The 19,846-nt window shown below is 38.8% G+C and overlaps 1 long non-coding RNA gene across 1 annotated transcript; it reads right to left on the bottom strand.

Annotated features, from left to right (window-relative positions):
• Nucleotides 1-4,254: 4,254 nt before the first annotated feature.
• Nucleotides 4,255-16,567, bottom strand: LOC100505912 (uncharacterized). Its single transcript, NR_037877.1, has 4 exons — nt 16,481-16,567; nt 11,942-12,068; nt 6,758-6,905; nt 4,255-4,790 (listed from the first exon to the last, which is right to left on the bottom strand). It is a non-coding gene; the product is annotated as an uncharacterized LOC100505912 (long non-coding RNA).
• Between the last annotated feature and the right edge of the window lie 3,279 nt (nt 16,568-19,846).

Genomic DNA, 19,846 nt, shown 5'->3' on the forward strand with positions numbered 1-19,846 from the left:
AAAAAACTGATTGGTTAACATCAGGTTACTTCAAGTTCCTTTTTTTTTATAAGGGTTAATGCAGAGGGGACTTCCTTTTTATGCTGGCTCAGCTAGACTGGAATCTGTTTTCAGGAAAAATCAAACAGTCTGTTTAGGAATCTATGTACTTCCTTAAAGTTTCAATTTGATGATGTGACATTTAGCATGAGTGACTCCAATTTAGCTTGGTCTGGTCTATTGGGGCCTAGTGCAGAGGCTCAGTCCGAAACAATGGTTCATAATTTTGCATAACAACCTAAGAAAAGACCATCTACTCTACTGCAAAGCTTTAGGACATACCTTTATCAGGATTTTATATGTAGCTTCCAAGACACAGGAAGTAGCTAGTATTTTGTATTGGAAAAGGACTAAGAATGAACATATATCTTCTCTTAAACTAAAATCTCTCCTCATGTCTGTTTCTTCTATAAGTTTAAGGAGAATTTCTAGGTTTGGTAGCTCCATTCCATGTGAGTGGTACTCAGTCACATGAGTAGGATTAGGATGCTGATGGGGTCACATTAATTGCTTAAAATCTAAGGAAAGTGGGTGGAAGCAAAGGGGGCCAACTAGTTTTCAAGACCTGAGGACCATTGATTTCTATTTAAAGAATACAAGATGTATTTAATCAAGGCCTAGCCAGTTGTGAGAACTTCTCATCATCACCAGTCTCAATACAGAAATAACTGCCGTCATTCAGAATGTTATCTGAAACAAAGTGGAGGATGAAGTTGGCAAAAGGCTCAAAACCCATAAAAACACTTATGATTTAAACATGAGATGTTTCCCTGTGCTAAATTTGGAATGATTTGCTGGTCTACAGTCCTGTTGGAGGAAAGAAAATGCTCAGTTTGGGAAATAAAGGAAGAAAACATATCAATGTTTTGCCCATAATATTGGGAGAAATAGAATTATCTGAACCATATGAATTCAGAAAGTACTCGCATGACAAAAACACATTTACTATATTTAGAATACGACTTAAGAACAGTATTTCAAACTCCCAGAAATTCGCTAGTGGAATTTTTAAAGCAATTTTTAGTTTTTACATAATAAATATATATGGTGTACTTTTATATATGAATACACCCAGAAAATTTTTCTGTATGGCTTGCTACAAAAAGTATTACAGGTTAAATAATAACTCATGAAAGCTTATATAATAACAGAGGGCATGTAATGTTGGTTGCTGATTTTTTTTTCACCCAAAACAAAGTAGGAAGGTGCACATGCCATGTTGAATATTGAAAAAAACTAATGTTTATTTAAGAGGAAATAATGAGCTCACCCATTAGGCCTTGGTGTATAATTTTTTTCTAGGTCAGTTTTCCCAGAAGTAGACCCTGAGATGAAGGTTCATAGGCCAGTGATTTATCAAGTAAATGCTTATTAGTGATCCTAATAAAAGGGTGAAGTAAGCAGGAAAGTGAAGGCGAGGAAGCCAGATAAGAGTGTGACCTCAAGCCTTTCCCACACAGGATAACCTCAGCCTAATCCCAGAGGGGAGCTCTGGAGAGTAAGTTACATCTCAGAGTTGTACTAATTTGTGTCAAGAGAGTTGGGCTTTCAAATTCCCACATAGTCATGGGCTAAGGGTCACACCAGGAGGATGGAAATTCCCATGTGTTCAGTCAAAGGCTTCAGTAGGTTGAAGAAAGTCCTCCAAAAAATTGCTATAGTTTATGAATGACACCAACAAAAGAATGTTAAATCCTGAGGACACACAGGATGTTCATTTATTTATCTAAATAATGCCCTATACCATTATTATTACCTTTCTTATCTTAAAAAAATAATGCCCTATACCATTATTATTACCTTTCTTATCTTAAAAGGTATTATTACCTTTCTTTTCTGGATAAACATATATGTACAATTCAAACACAGGGTATCATCCCAATATGAGTGGATAAGTTTCATTTGCCTATATGAGTCAACTCAAGTTGAAAAGGCTTTACTCTTTTATCCACTATTTTTTATTTATCCAACCATTCAAAAGTATTCATTGATTGACCACTATGGAGAGTCTATTTGACACTGTTGTCAGTATCTTTGGTGTCACAAAAAACTTGCTTTGAATCCTGGCTCCACTGCTTAACAACAATATGACTTACAGAAAATGACTAAGTCCTCTAAGTCTCTGTTTATACAAGTGTAAAATGGGAACAATCATATTAAGGATTCAACCACATAATGCGTGTAACTGACTTTACACAGTGCCTGGCACATGGTAAGTTTTCCATACATGTTAGTTAATATAATAACAATAATGATAATGTTTGAGTCAGAGTGATAACTTCTGTGTATGAAATAGTATACTTGAAAGGAAAACAAGATTGCCCTGCCTTAGAGCTTAATATCTTGGAAGTTAACACCTAAGTAAATATTTAGCAATAGAAAAGATAAATAAGTAATACAACAGAATAATGTATAATTGATGCTGAATGATATACATAAAAAAACAGATACCCCACCACTAAAATCTCCTCCTCACTAATATATTCTCCACAGTTACACTTGTGTTCTGTTTCTAAAATATAGCTTTAATAGTGAGACTCCTCTGTCCGTAAATTGTTGATGGCCCCTTCTCACCTACATAAAAATGTCCAGGCATCAAAGCATTCACCCATGATCTACATGCTCCCCAAACCTCACAATGTACTATAGTCAAATCTTTTATTTCATCCCCCTTCATATTTTACCAGAACTATCCAGAATATGCAATATTTTTTTCTTACTTTAGTGTCACTGCTCAAGTAGTCACTTCAATGTGGAATACCTTTTCTCCAATTCTTACTGTTGAAGTTTTCCATCCTTGGATGTCCATCCCAAGTATCACCTCTTGTACAAAACCTCCCTATCTCTTTCATTCAAATTACCTCTCCCCATCCATGTTCATATGGTACATTATGTGCTTTACACATAATCGGGTACAGCAAATGTTTACAGGAAAAATCGCTTGGAAGAAGAGGTTTGTGCAGAGAGTGGCTGGCCCAAAATGCAAAATGTCAGTCTTTACATTAGACTGGAAGTTTCTTGAGGTCTGAGATGACCTCTAAGATATCAGAAAGAACTTATAAAGGAAGAAGAAACATTAGCATAATTATAATACTATAGAAACGAAAGGAGGATAATTTCAAGGAAATAAACAAGGGGATTTGTATTAGTCCATTTTCGCACTGCTGTAAAGAAATTCCTGAGACTGGGTAATTTATCAAGGAAAGAGGTTTAACTGACTCACAGTTCCACATGGCTGGGGAGGCCTCAGGCAACCTACAATCATGGTGGAAGGGGAAGCAGACACTTCTTACATAGTGGCAGGCTAGAGAGAGAGAGAGAGTGTGTGTGTGTGTGTAGGAGGAACTGTCAAACACTTTTAAACCCATCAGATATCATGAGAACTCACTATCACAAAAACAGCATGAGGGGAAACTTCCCCCATGATCCAATCACCTCCCACCAGGTCCCTCCCTCAATACCTGGAGATTCTGGGGATTACAATTCAAAATGAGATTTGGGTAGAAGACAGAGCCAAACCATATCAGAATTGATGTTACATACTTCAGACAAGTCAAAGAAAATAATGATTGAAAGAGACCTGTACAAGTAAGTTATTGGTTATTTTGGGAAATGCGATTTTCCAAATATACTATACTTATTTACTATACAAATATATTATGATAGAAAGATAGATGAGAGAATAGTGAAAATATAAAACTAGGAGTGGTATACTAGTTGCTCAGGGTACAAATAAGTTATGAGAGACATGGAAGCTGGTGTATGAGATTGAGGAGGTTTTGTCAAGAGGAAGTAATTTTCAAGATTTTTAAAAAGTTATTTTTTGTTAAGGGATAGAGGGAAATGATTCATTTAAGAGAGATATTTAGGTCAGGTGCAGTGGTTCACATTTGTAATCCTAGCAATTTGGAAGGGCTGAGGCAGGTGGATTGCCTGAGCTCAAGAGTTCAATACCAGCCTGAGAAACATGGTGAAATCCCATCTTCACAAAAAATACAAAAATTAGCCAAGCCCGGTAGCTTGCGCCTGTACTCTCAGCTACTTGGGAGGCTGAGGCATGAGGATCAGTTGAGCCCAGGAGGCAGAGGTTGCAGTAATCCAAGATCGTGCCACTGCACTCCAGCCTGGGTAATAAAGTGAGACCCTGTCTCAGAAAAAAAGAGAGAGAGAGAGAGATTTAAAATGCAGGAGGAAAGAATTTGAGAAGGAACGGATTTTTTTTTTTTTTTTAGCTAGACTCAAAACTGATTACAATTAATCAATGTAATTGTATAATTCCTGTAATTTTATAAAAGGAAATTAAAACCATTCAAACACCAACCTGACCTTTCTGTAAGTTAGCATTTCTCCATTATGTAGGTAGACTCATGTATTTGGATTACAATAACAATTGTTTGTCCACTGCTCCATTCTTAGGGAAATTCTCAACTGGTTTTATATAACCTTCTGGAAGGCTGAGGTTCTCCCTTCGAGCTCCCATCCCCATGCAAGATGACGAGATTCCCCACTCTCTGTTAAGGAAGTCTCTAGGTATTCAGGACTGCTAAAGTGCAGCTTGTCTGTCCGTGGAAGACACAGTGGCAGGTGTAACCCTGGAGGGTGTGTTTATCAGAGGTCATTTCCGAAAAAGGGCCTTTCCTTTTCCTCTCGCTTTGAGAATTCCTAGTGTCATCTTTCAGTTCTTTCCCCAGAGAGTCACAGTCTGCTTTTTCTTTTCCCTTTCTCCAGCTCCAAGCCCTCAATCTTGTGGTCTATGGGAAAAGAAACAAAACAAAACATGACCCAAAAATCTGTTTAGCATTTAAGTCAATAATTTCTTTGAATCTTTTTTTCAGCATTGGTGTGGCTGAAGTAGGCAAAAAACTCTCAAGATACTAGTGAGAGGGAAAAAAAAGGGTAGGAAGATACATAGAAAACAAACATTAATGGCCTGAGACATACCCTTGCCAGGTTATTAAACAGATTAATAATAATAAAATGGTTTCACTCTATTTAGTGCTTACTATGTGGGCTTTAAACACTTAACTTTTGTTTTCAAACATGTAACTTATGTAATCATCACAACAGCCCAATGAGAAAGGTGCAATTATTTTTATCATTCTACAGATAAGAAAACCAAAGCGCAGAGAAGTTAAGTATTTTGGCCAAGGTGACACTGGCGAAACGAGAATTTTGAGTCTAAGCTGTCCAGTTCCAATTCTACACTCTTGATCACTACTCCACATTTTAAAGATGTAATGTTCTTAGTTTTGCTGAATTGCTATTTCTCCTAATTAAAACAATAACAACAACACTTCTGGGTATTATTTCAAATATAAATATTATTTTGATAAGATTACCTTGTAGAGAAAGATTATTTCATGTAAGTCAGGGAATTAAAAATCAAGATTCCTTGGCTCCTGTACTGGCCCAGCTACCAAAGCAGAATTACCAATGTCTAGTGAGAATGAAATCATATTGAGAATATTTTCTGTTAGACTCTCAGCAGAGTGATGCTCAGTAACTAGTTAATTGCCCTGATTTATATTGATGATTTACAAAACTGCATATAACTTGCTATGAAAATATGTAGGTGGTCGTTAGATATCTGAAGAAACGTGGAATTGCCGAAATAGATTTGTCTCAGTTGTATGATTTCAATTAAGTTTTTAAATAAGTGCTTTATACATTGCTTGAGTAATCTGAAAATCATCTACAGATATATAGCATATTTATTTCATATGAATTCTCAGGTACGTAATGATAGCTATCTCTGTAAACTTGCTATAAATATTCTGAACATCCAAATAAAATCTTCCAGAGAGAATCATCTATGGACACAAATAGAAATGTTACAGAGGAAAAATAACAAACTAGTAATTACCTTTGGTTTCCCATAGACTTTCTATACAGAATTAATTCCTCCCTTATCTCGGCAGTATCTAAAGCAATAGTTATCAATCTCTAGTTCGTTCATTCAAAGGAGCTAGTTACATCTTTAAAATGTAGATTCTGAGACACCTCCAGGGCTTCTGATTCATTAGGTCTGGAAAGGACCCCAAAGTCTGAAATATATATATATATGTGTGTGTGTGTGGGTGTGTATATATGTGTGTTTGTGTGTGTGTGTGTGATATTTTGGTATTTTATTGATAGGAATAACATTTTGATGACTTTTTCTTTTAAATTTTATTTTAGGTTCAGTGGATGCATGTGCAAGTTTGCTACCTGGGTAAACCACATGACGCTAAGTTTGAGATATGAATGATCACGTCATTCAGATAGTGAGTATAGTACCCAACAGGTAGTTTTTCAATCCTTGCCCCACCCCAACACTCCCTTATCTAGTAGCCACCAGTGTCTATTGTTCCCATCTTTATGTCCATGTGTACTCAATGTTTAGTTCCCATTTATAAATGAGAACATGCATTATTTGGTTTTCTGTTCCTTCATTCATTTGCTTAGGATAATGTCCTCCAGCTGCATCCATGTTGCTGCAAAAGACGTGATTTCCTTCTTTTTCATGGCTGTGTAGTATTCCATGCTATATATGCACCACATTTTCTTTATCCAGTCCCAATCTGTATTTTAAATAATCCCTGTGGGAATTCTGATGCAGATGGTTAGCCCCTCATACTTCAGAAAATACAGATCAGAGGCACATGAAGTCAGAGAAATGTGTGGCTGTTTTTGACATGCATGCTTTGCTCAGATAGCGCTTGGAAAGAAGGCCACTTACCTGGTTTTGTTCACTCTACGGGCCAACAATTGGCTGCATGGTCAACATGTGATTTAAAAATTAAGATACTTCCTTAAACCACTGCTGAAGGAGTCAGTGACTTGAGGTTTCAAAAAACAACACAAAAACTAGTTGAAAAGGACTCAACCTGGAATGTAGAATAAAATATTTATTATTTACTCAACAGTTAATGTAAACAAACATGTATACAGCAAACTCTTAGGAGCTGTTAATTTCTCATTCCTCTTCACAGAATGACTAAAGAAGCTTTAGCGTAGATGAGGTGGGGGTAATGTTTTTGTCCTCTTATTGCACGACTCCTCATTTATTTGACTTGGCTTAATGGGATCTACTGATTCTTATCTTGCCTCACAAATGTGAATGTCAATTCCGGCATGTGGTACACTGTGCTAATTTTAATATTTTTAGACTATTTGTAATTGTTCATAAAGATCTTCATCAATTATACCTCTATATCTTTGGTTACTCATATTTTTATTAGGTACTATACATATCTGCGTGGAATTAAAAACTTGTTTTTCCTCCAACTTGGTGAATATGTTGACCATATCCAGCTGCGACAGATGGGGATGGATATCATCTTTGTTATGACCCAGTGAGGATGATAGAGGCAGCCTTCCCTTTTCACAGGAAGAGCAGGGCTGCCAAATGGAGTGATGTCTAAAACAGTTTCCAAAAATGGCAGGTTTGACAGTTTTTAGCATGTGTCACATAATCCAATGCCCACAATGATGCTGCTATTTAAACATACGACTCCCCTTCATTCTCCCTTCTGTGTGGGTTGCACAAGCTTAGTTAATGTTACTCTGTTGGTTCTTTTGTGATACAGATAGAGTTTCATCAAAATCCACTTGTTGCAGTTGCAGTTTAAGGTGCAAAAGAAAGACATTTATAGTGTTCTTGGAAAGTCTGGAATTTCACAAATTAGATTTTTTTAGGTAGGAATAAACTGTCATAAAAAAATAAATTGTCAACACACCAAGACCTGTATAGAGACAACTGATTATTTTTTTTCCAATTACTTCTTTCAGGGATAATTTAATTTTCTAGGAAAAAGGGATAAATAGCATGATGATATATTTTTTCTTTACATCCTTCATTGCATGATTTTTAATCTGAAACATTTTTAATTCATAAACAGTACAGTGCTAATTGAAAGAGTTAGTTACTCTTATGCTTCTGCGGTAAGCACCTCTGATCTCTAAGGTACCTCGGATAACCAGTGCACAGATACGAACTCTTAAGTAATCTGCAGCACTGGGAACTGGAGTCCACACAGGAAACCCAAAAGCATTCAAGGTCAAACATCTTCAACCCAAAAGTATGGTGTAGGAAGCTTCTGAAGTCAATCAGAAAGAATATCCATATTTCAGCTACGTTAAAAAGTATGAGAGAATCTGTTATCCTAAATGCAAAGAAAACAAAATAAAATCTTGTCTTTGCCTTTAAGACTATGTATTTTAACAACAACAACAAAAGAGTAGAACCACTCTCTGCCTTCTGCTTTAACATAAGTTCAGTCTAGTTACATTCTTATAAAAGAGCTCCAGAAGCAGCTGTATTTTACTTTTCTTTCTCAGACATATATCAGAATTCATATATCAGAGCCTACACAGTCTCCATTTAGAGATACCTAACACTTCTCAAGATTTTAAAGCTTTTGTTGCCTATACAGTCTCCATTTTGGAATATCTTACACTTCTCAAGATTTTAAAGCTTTTGTTTCACCCATTTGTGTGATATTTCGGGGGAGGGGGTAAGTTTTTGCTTTTTCCTTGCAACATTTTTACTCAAAGTCCCAACCAAATTTCTTGTTAAAAGAACCATCCAGCATGTGTATTTTTGATGATTACTTTCAAAGCAAGGAAACACATCAGTGTGATTAAACTGAAAACAAAATAAAGTTGCAGTTTTTTCTAAAATAAATAGGTCCCAAAGCTCAAGTGAATATTGGTTCATCAGTTGTGACAAATGTAAGATATTAACAAAAGGGAAAAGGGCCATGCATGGTGGCTCATGCCTGTAACCCCAGCACTCTAAGAAGCCAAAACATGAGGAATGCCTTGAGGCCAGGAGTTTGAGACCAGTCTGGGCAATGTAGCAAGACCCAATCTTTATTTAAAAATGAAAAAAATACTCAGGCATGGTGGTGCATGCCTGTAGTCCCAACTACTCAGGAGGCTAAGGCAGAAGGATTGCTTGATCCTGGGAGTTCAAGGGTACAATTAGCTGAGATTATGCCACTGTACTCCAGCCTGGGTGACAGAGTGAGACCCTGTTTCTAGAATAAATACATAATTTTTTTAAAGACAAGGGAAATCTGGAGGTATGTATATAGGAACTCTCTATACTATCCTTGCAACTTCTTTGTAATTATAATAAAACTACAGTTATGACCTGCATAATGATGTTTCAGTCAACAGCAGACTGCAAATTATAGGGACAGGAGGCAGCCAAACACCTAGGCAGATTGGAGAGGGTCTCTGGTGAAACCCTACCTCCAAGCCAAAGACAGTTTAAAGTCTTGAAAAACAAGCTACAAGCTAAATCCTCAGACCGGATTGAAAACTTGTCTTCCTGTTTGGCATGCTTTCCTCTGATTGATCCCCTCCCTTCACCTATTGTACATATATCTACTCTTTCCTAATTGGTTTTCTATACTGTATGCCCACCTTGGAGTGGTGTCTTTGCTTTAACCTTTTTTACATACTCACAAACCAATCAGCAGGCACTCCCCATTCTGCATCCATTAAGTGCCCTAGGCCCAGCCACACACCGGGGGGGGGGGGGGGTGGATTTCCCTGGCTTTGGATAGGGGAACCACCCTTCCCCAACTGTATCCCCTCTCCAATGAGAGTTTTCCTTTTGCTTAATAAACTTTTCTTCACTCACACTCCCGCGTCCATGAGCCTAATTCTTCTGGTCATGAGACAAGAACTCAAACCTAGCTGAGCTAAGGAGCAGAAAGACTGTATCACATATATGAAGGTGGCCCTGTAAGATTATAATGGAGCTGAAAATTTCCTATTGCCTAGTGATGTCAGAGCCATGGTACTTGATATGGTTTGAATTTGTGTCCTCACCCAAATATCATGTCAATTTGTAATACTCAATGTTGGAAAAGAGGCCTGGTAGGAGGTGACTGGATCATAGGGTGGATTTCCCCCTTGCTACTCTCAGGATGCTGAGTGAGTTCTCATGCGCTCTGGTTGTTTAAAAGTGTGCATTGCTTCACCCTTTGCTCTCTTCTTCCTCTGACCATGATTCCAGCTCCTGCCTGCTTCTCCTTCACCTTCTGCCATAACTGTAAGTTTCCTGAGGACTCTCTAGCCATGCTTCCTATACAGCCTGTGGAACTGTGAGCCAATGAAACCTTTTTTCTTTATAAATTACTCAGTCTCAGGTATTTCTTTATAGCAGTGCAAGAATGAACTAATACAGTAGTGTTGTAGCATAATGCATTATTCCCATGTTTGTGGTGATGCTGGTGTAAACAAACCTACGGCTTATTATACGGCTGCTAGCTGTATAAAAGTATAGCACATACAATTACATACAGTACGTAATACTTGATAATTATAACAACTATGTTATTGGTTTATATATTTACCATTATTCAAATATAATGATTTGCCATTATTTTAGAGTATACTCCTTCTGCTTAATTTCTTCAAGTTAACCAAAAAATAGCTTCAGGAAGGTATTTCAGGAGGTATTCCAGAAGAAGAGATTGTTATCCTAGGAGGTGACAGCTCAATGAGTGTTATTGCCCCCTGAAGACCTTCCAGTGGGACAAAATGTGGAGGTGAAAGACAGTGATATTGATGATCCTGATGTGGCCTAGGCTAATGCTGTGCTTGTCTAAGTTTTTAACAAAAAAAGTTTGAAAGTTACAGAAAAACTTTAAAAGTTAGAAATAGAAAAAAGCTTCTAGAATGAGGGTATAAAGGGAAAATATTTTTGTATAGCTGTACAATGTGTTTGTGTTTTAAGTTGTATTATTATAAGTGTCAAAAAGCTTTGGAAAATTTAAAAATTCATAAAATAAAAATGTTACCATAAGCTAAGGTTACTTTATTGTTAAAGAAAGAAAACATGTTCAATTAAATTTAGTGTAGCCTAAGTGTATAGTGTTTATAACGTCTACAGTAGTATATGGTAATGTCCTAGGTGTTCAAATTCATTCATCACCCACCACTCACTGACCCAGAGCAAGTTCAGTCCTGCAAGCTCCATTCACGGTAAGTACCCTATACAAGTATGCCATTTTTTATCTTATATACCATATTTTTACTGTACCTTTTCTATGTTTAGATCTGCTTAGATACACGCACACTTCCCATTGTGTTCCAATTGCTACAGTATTCGGTACAGCAATATGCTGTACAGATTTGTAGCTGAGGACAAATAGGCTATACCACAGCTTAGGTGTGTAGTAGGCTGTAACATCTAGGTTTGTGTGAGTAAACTCTGATGTTTGCACAATGACAAAATTGCCTCATGATGAGTTTCTCAGAACATATCCCTGTTATTAAGCAATGCATGATTGCATTTAAAAATATACATTTAAAGCTTAAGGTACAAAGAGCAGAGATAAAAGGTGAAAATTACATGAACCTTTGAAGATTATCTAGTCTAAACAACTGCTGAGTGTCAGAATGTTTTCATCAACATCACCCATAAGGATTATCTAGTCTAGATACCCTTGAATTATATTTCATCAGAAAAATCTTTAAGCCAAGGAAACCCAATAAATATATTTTGGGGACTCCTCTAAGAGAAAGTTACCCCCTTTTTTAAGTCCAAATCTCTCTCTCTGTGTGGATTCCATTTTAGAGACATTCTTGGGTTCCTAGTAAGCCTTTAGCTCCTCAAGGACTGGGACTCTTCAATCTTTGTACTCTCTACTCAATACATGTTCAATATGAAACAAATTGAATTCCTTGCAGTAGTTCGCTCAGGCTGCTGTTCTGTGTGGGAAATGCGTGAGGGGAGAAGAAAAGACACACCCACAATACCTTTAAGGGTAAACAAGCTTTGTCCCACATAAATGACAATGCAGATATAATAAGCAAATGATATAATAAACAAATTAATATAACAAGCCAATTGCAATGGGAAGGAGAGAAGGGAAAAGATATATATATATATAGTTATACTCACCAGACCATGGAGGATTCACCACCAGACTGGGAAGCAACAGCCTGGGCTCCAGAGTCAGCCACTCAAACGTGCACAGATGAGGAGAGGTCTCATGAAGCTTCGGTGCAGTCTGGGACTCTAGCTCTTTCTGTAATGAGTTGTTTGACATAAGGCCCAGTCACGAGGGCCCTTCACGACAAGGCTCAAGGAACACAAAAAGGTCAACTTGTTTTTACGATTGTCTATTGTTTTTCAATAACTAACATATAGGAATAGATTAAAATAGACATTTCTCCAAAACAGCACTGGATGAAGGCCTCAAGGAGCTCACACAGCCTGTTCCAGGACTTGGTGACCATTGTTTGTGGCCATGTTCAATTGAGTTCACATTTAATATTTAACTTTTCCTCCACATTTGGCCTCAAATTGATACTCAATTGTAGGAAAATACCCTTACAGATACATGGGAAAGACACAGTTGATATAGATTACAGATACAGGAGAATTAAAAGCACAACTAATAAAAACCACACCCACCATGGCTTTGCAAGGAGAGTCATATTGTGAGAATTGTCATGGACATACACATAACATTCAATATGCAGTAAAGCCCAGACCGCTCATTGGGCGTATCTAATGCCATTCCGTTTTTCTTTTTTTTCCAAGTAAATTTTTTATTATTATTATACTTTAAATTCTAGGGTACATGTGCACAACATGCAGGTTTGTTAATGTGCCATGTTGGTGTGTTGCACCCATTAACTTGTCATTTACATTACGTATATCTCCTAATGCTATCCCTCTCCCTTCCCCCCATCCCACAACAGGCCACGGTGTATGATGTTCCCCTTCCTGTGTCCAAGTGTTCTCATTGTTCAATTCCCACCTATAAGTGAGAACTTGTGGTGTTTGGTTTTTTGTCCTTACAACAGTTTGCTGAGAATGATGGTTTCCAGCTTCATCCATGTCCCTACAAGGGACATGAACTCATTCTTTTTTATGGCTGCATAGTATTCCATGGTGTACATGTGCCACATTTTCTTAATCCAGTCTATCATTGATGGACATTTGGGTTGGTTCCAAGTCTGCTATTGTGAATAGCACTGCAATAAACATACGTGTGCATGTGTCTTTACAGCAGCATGATTTATAATCCTTTGGGTATATACCCAGTAATGGGATGGCTGGGTCAAATGGTATTTCTAGTTCTAGATCCCTGAGGAATTGCCACACTGTCTTCTACAATGGTTGAACTAGTTTACTGTCCCACCAACAGTGTAGAAGTGTTCCTATTTCTCCACGTCCTCTCCAGCACATGTTGTTTCCTGACTTTTTAATGATCGCCATTCTAACTGGTGTGAGATGGCATCTCATTGTGGTTTTGATTTGCATTTCTCTAATGGCCAGTGATGATGAGCATTTTTTCATGTGTCTGTTGGCTGCATAAATGTCTTCTTTTGAGAAGTGTCTGTTCATATCCTTTGCCCACTTTTTGATGGGGTTGTTTGTTTTTTTCTTGTAAATTTGTTTGAGGTCTTTGTACACCTTATACAAAAATTAATTCAAGATGGATTAAAGACTTAAATGTTAGACCTAAAATCATAAAAACCCTAGAAGAAAACCTAGGCATTATCATTCAGGACATAGGCATGGGCAAGGACTTCATGTCTAAAACACCAAAAGCAATGGCAACAAAAGCCAAAATTGACAAATGGGATCTAATTAAACTAAAGAGCTTCTGCACAGCAGAAGAAACTATCATCAGAGTGAACGGGCAACCTACAGAATGGGAAAAAATTTTTGCAATCTACTCATCTGACAAAGGGCTAATGCCATTCCATTTTTCAATACAACAGTACGCAGTTGAGCAAATTTATCTGATAACAACATAAGTTCAGTACCACTGTCATTAAGAGCTTTATTTTACATGTAAGCTTAATATTTTATTTCTGTAGCAGGATCGTACCAGCGGCAGGGGCGAACACTGTGATAGGGTACCACCACCAGAGGGCCCGGTGCATTTGTAACCAGTGATGTTTGTAAGCATTTAGATTACTGGGGAGGGGAAAATCATCCCGGATGGTGAATGAAATTAATGGCCTCCCCCAAGTGCATCTCCCCCTCCAGTATGGGGGCAGCTATCACCACCCATAGAATCCACATACCCAGAGGGCTCCCCAGAGAACAGGAAAAGTTCTCCTATAATTGTATTGCTGTAATGTGTAATTTAAGTAACAAAGGTGCTGTGTTTCATTTGGGCTTGGGCAAAAATAGACTGTTTGGTCTGGTTAAAAGAAGTCCAGGTTATTATCCCACCCCCATTGGTATTGGCATATCCATTCGGAAATGTTAGCAAGGACGATTCTCCAAGGTAGCCCATTTCTGGCGGCCTCTGGCAACTCGACACATAGCCAGCACTGACTGCAGTTGGCTTCTGTTGTCGCAGTGGCTACCCAAGTGATGAACTCATTCTCGGCCTCAGACATGATGACCCAAGTACTGATTACTAGCAGACAGGTTATTCTCTGTAATAATAAAAATAGAGGGGAACATGATACTGTTTTTCATCTTTAGGAAATTGTGCTATGCCTTCATTTTCTGCTCCCATAGCTACAAGGTCACCAGCCTTAGGGGCAGAATCTGATGGACACTGTACCCATATTTTGGCTCCAGGATTATAAGTTGCCCTCTCTGGTGGACCCGAATTCTCCAGTTCTATATGTTGTTTCTATTGGGGCAGAAATTTCCTCAGTGGTTGACAAGGTACCACTAACAATTTAGCAACCCGCAGCTGCAGTTGTATAGCAAAAGAATCTGGAGTGGTATTGTATAAAATGACCTTTAACTCTCCCTGGTAATCACTATCAATTATACCACCATAGATTATAATGCCTCCCATTGCAAGGCTTGAACATGTTGTAATCCATTTATCTGCATTCGAATTTGCAGTTACGGTGGAAATTTTGGCCTGTTGATCTGCTTGCTGATTAAATAGTCTGTTAAGAATAAGCAGAGACGCATGAGCATCAACATGGAAAACAGCGCTAATGGTAGTGTGTGCCAGGATTCAGACATCTCCCCAGTATTGTTTTCCCCAAACCTCTTCATTCCCAATTAACCATTTGTTTCATCCCAAGTAGTAAGACCATTTGCTACTGACCAAGAGTTGGTATACAGGTGACAAATCCCTCTGGCCTCCTCCTGAATAGCTTGGAGGATGGCTACCAATTCAGCCAGCTGGTTGCTCCCACCGTTTCCTTCATCAGAACCAGTGAGTTTTGGGGGAACTCATGACCCAAATCATAATCATAAAGACATCATGGTTGAAGCAGAGGTGCTCCGTTTCCAGCGAAGCCCAATAGCAAGCTAACGGTTGATTCTTGAAAGGGGTATAAGCTTTGCTGGTCTCTGGCAGTTTCCAGATCCAAACCACAAAGGTACCCTCTTCCCATCTTGTTTCTGCCTAAGGCTCCAATTAGCCTGTTGTTGTAGTTCTACTGGCCCATCCTGTATGGGCCGTAGATTTCAGACCAGTTGCACTGCTTGTTTAGCTTGTTCAAAAGCCATGCTCTCTTTCTCTCCCCAGTGAAAGTCGTAGCGTTTTCTAGTGACTGCATGCAGAGGTTCTAAAATGTTACCCAAGTGGGACTATGATGTCTCCAGAATCCAAACAAGGCAATAAATTTCTGGGCCACCTTCTTAGTGGTAGGGGTTGCAAATTCTAGTATTTTAGCCTTAGCCTTTGTTAAAATGGACTATTTCCTTTATTCCATAGGATGCCAAGGAATTTTACAGTTTGTGCAGGTCCTTGAATTTTACTAGGGTTAATTTCCTGGCCTTCAGATAGGAGATGGATTTTTACCTGCTCCAAACCCTGGCTGACTAGTTCTTCAGTTTTACCCTAACCATGCCATTCAGATAGCTGCTTTTTTCAGCAATAAGCTGATAGCTTTGAGCCTAATCAGTCAAGACATAGGCCTGGCATTGGGCCAGGGCCAGTCTGGAAGTCAGATTAGCATTTTCCTTTTCCAGCTTACATTTCTCTTGAAGCAACCAGTCCCTATCTTGACACATTAAATTATAAGCAGTAAGCAAGCACCATCTATGCCGGGAAATTCCCTCAGCATCCCCTTTACCAACTGGGATTCCCTGCAGCACTTCACGCACTCAAATGTTGAAATCGCACTGATTTAGATTCCCAATTATCACAAAAGCCAGTTCCCCTGGGCCATTCAATCACCAAGAAGGAAAACTGAGGGAGTTCCCATCCCAGGATGGGGGAAGACCCTGAGTTCCCAGCCCAGACCCTGCAGCTAAAAAATGGCATGCTTTTGCTATGAAATCCTGTTCGTGACGCCAAAAATGTTCTATGCGGGAAACGCATGAGGGGAGAAGAAAAGACACACACACGATACCTTTAAGGGTAAACAAGCTTTGTCCCAAGTAAATGGCAATTCAGATATAATAAGCAAATGATAGAATAAGCAAATTAATATAATAAGCAAATTGCAATGGGAAGGGGAGAAGGGAAATCAGATATATATATATATTTACACTCACCAGAATATGGAAGATTCACCACCAGACTGGGAAGCAACAGCCTTGGCTCCTGAGTTGGCCACTCATCCGTGCAGACGAGGAGAGGTCTCATGAAGCTTCGGCACAGTCTGGGACTCTAGCTCTTTTTGTAACGAGTTGTTTGGCATGAGGCCCAGTCATGAGGGCCCTTCATGACTGGGCTCAAGGAACACAAAAAGATCAACTTGTTTTTGCCAGTGTCTATTGTTCTTCAATAACTAAAGTATGAGAATAGATTGAAATAGAGATTTCTCCAAAACAGCACTGGATAAACGCCTCAAGAAGCTCACACAACCTGTGCCGGGACTTGGTGACCGTTGTTTGTGCCCACGTTCAATTGAGTTCAAATATAATATTTTAACTCTTCCTCCACAGCTGCCATAATAAAGTATCAAAGACTGTGTGGCTTAAACAACAAAAATACAGTTGACCCTTGAATAATTTGGTGGTTAGGGGCACCAAACCCCCGTGCAGTCAAAAATCTACATGTAACTTTTGGCCTTCCCAACACTTAACTACTAAAAGCCTACTGTTGACCAGAAGCATTACTGATAACATAAACAGTTGATTTACACATATTTTGTATGTTACATGTATTATATGCTATGTTCTTACAATAAAGTAAGGTAGAGAAAAGAAAGTGTTATTAAGAAAAATCATAAGGAAGATAAATATGTTTACTATTGATTAATTGGAAGATTGGAAGTGGATCATCCTAAACGTCTTCATCCTCACTGCCTTCATGTTGAGGAGGCTGAGAAGGAGGAGAACGAGGAGGAGGAGGGAATAGTCTTGCTGTCTCAGGGATGGCAGAGGCAGAAGAAAATCCAGATAAAAATGGATCCACACTGTTCAAACCTGTATACACACACACACACACACACACACACACACACATAGAGGATCTGTATACATGATCCATCATGGATCATGTATATATATACACACACACCTTATTAGTCCTGTCCCTCTAGAGAACCCTGATTAACACAGATTTTGGTATCAGGAGTGGTTCTAGAGGAAAAAAATTTTAAGGATGAAGTTCTTTAGTTGGTCTGGGGGTTTCTGGAGTTGGTTGCTTAATATGACTAGACCCCAAAATGCTAAGGACTCTACTTCTACTAGTATGGAGAACACGGAGAGTCTTTGGCATGAATTGTTTAGACAGTTAAGCAAAATAAATGCATTTGATACTTCTGATTCACCACTCATGACAGGCAAGGAATTTAGTGATTCTATATATAATATCTTTGACCATATGTGGGAACCAAGGAATATAATGAAGTTGGTTGGTTGGTTGCTCCTAAGTTCACTAGCCAAAGTGATGAAAGGAAACATTTAACTCCGAGATTCTGTCTCTCAGCTCCAGAAGCCCATACTGACCCTCAAATCTTTTAATATTGCCCTGAGTGAGAGTCTTACCTCCTGTAGGGAAAGAGCTGAAATTGTGGAAAATCAGAACAAGCTCTTATCCTGTGAATGGCTGACCTGCAATAAAAGATGCATGCACAGACTTGTCAGGTGTCTACTGTTAAGGTGACGGCATTGATTGAAAAAAAATGGGACTCTGCAACTTGGAATGGGGACATGTGGGAGGACCCTGATGAGGCCAGAAGCACTCAGCTCCTAAATTCTGATGAGCCTTTTTTTGCCAGGGAAACAGCCTCCCACCCACACCACCTCCCCTCCCCTCCCCAACCCAGCCTTTCCACCTTTGTTTGAGATAAACCCTTCACTTCCTGACACAACAGTGATGGCCTCCCCTGAGGCAGTTGCCAGGCAAAACAATGTTGATTCTCCTCAAGACCCACCCCCAACACCCCTGTTTGCTTCTAGACCTATAACTAAAGTCCTGACAGGCCCCTAAAGGTGAGGTTCAGAGTGTGACCCACGAGGCAGTGTGCTACATGCCAAAAGAACTGCTTGAGTTTTCTAATTTATATAAGCAGAAATCTGGAGAACAGGAATGGGAATGGTATTAAGGGTGTGGGATAATGGTGGAAAGACATAAAGTTAGATCAGGCTGAATTTATTGACATGGGCCTACTAAACAGGGATTCTGCATTTAATGTTGTAGCTCAGGGAGTTAAAAAAGGTTCCAATAGTTGATTTGCTCGATTAGCTGAAACATGGATCAAAAGATGGCCCACTGTGAGTGAGTTGGAAATGCCTGATCTTCCTCGGTTTAATGTAGAGGAAGGGATCCAAAGGCTTAGGGAGAGTGAAGTGCCGGAGTGGATTAGTCACTTTAGATCTACTCATCCCAACTGGGAGGGTCCAGAAGATATACCCTTCACCAATACTTTGCAAAATAGATTTGTGAGGGAAGCACCTGCATCCTTGAAGAGCTCTGTGATTGCTCTTTTCTGTATGCCAGATCTTATAGTGGGAACTGCAGTCACTCAACTACAAAATTTAAATGCAGTGGGAATAATTGGATCGTGGGGTGGCAGGAGCCAAGTGGCAGCACTCAACCATGAAAGGCAAGGTAGGCATAGCTACCGTAATGGACAGCAGAGGCAAAGCAGCAAACAGAATAGTCTGATATACATATATATATATATATATATACATCAGAGGGAGGGATAGCATTAGGAGAAATACCTAATGTAGATCACAGGTTGATAGGTGCAGCAAACCACCATGGCACGTGTATACCTATGTAACAAACCTGCACGTTCTGCACATGTACCCCAGAACCTAAAGTACAATAATAAAAAAAGCCCAAATCCAAATTCTAGTTAATCACTGGGCTTTGTCTCTGCCTTATCTTGTAAATGTGGGTGAGTCTGAAAGTTTGTGGAACTTTCCTTTAAAAAAAATAATAAATTTACCTGACTCTGATTTTTCTTGAATTTTTCTACTTCTCAGAATTCCTCAAAGAATGTCCACAGCCATTTGACAGTTTCATTCACAATTTGTCTTAGCACCCTAGGTTGCAAGTCACTGCAGCCAAAAGGTTATAATTATAACAGTGAGTTGCTGCCAGCTGCTTTCTTGTAATCTTTTCACCCATCTGAATGTGTCACTCTTATCCAAGTTCATGCCATGTTAGAGCCTATGTTGTCTATGCAGACTTCACCTGCAATTAGTCCAATGCATGAAAGTTCTAACTCTAAAATTCCCAGCCTCTAACTATTGGATAACTCTGTTTTACATCAAGGCATGCATTCATTAATTTATTTAGACTCTTACCAAATACTGACTAACCAGGGACACTCAGACACTTACTAAAGGGTTAACACTTATCAAAGGTCTTAAATATGTGTTCATTCTTTGTACATATGAAGCCTTTGATCCTCACAACAGCCTTATGAGGTATATTTCATTATTATTGTGTCCACTTTT

Source organism: Homo sapiens, chromosome 4 (assembly GCF_000001405.40).
Source record: "Homo sapiens chromosome 4, GRCh38.p14 Primary Assembly".
In the NCBI taxonomy this organism is placed as follows: domain Eukaryota; kingdom Metazoa; phylum Chordata; class Mammalia; order Primates; family Hominidae; genus Homo; species Homo sapiens.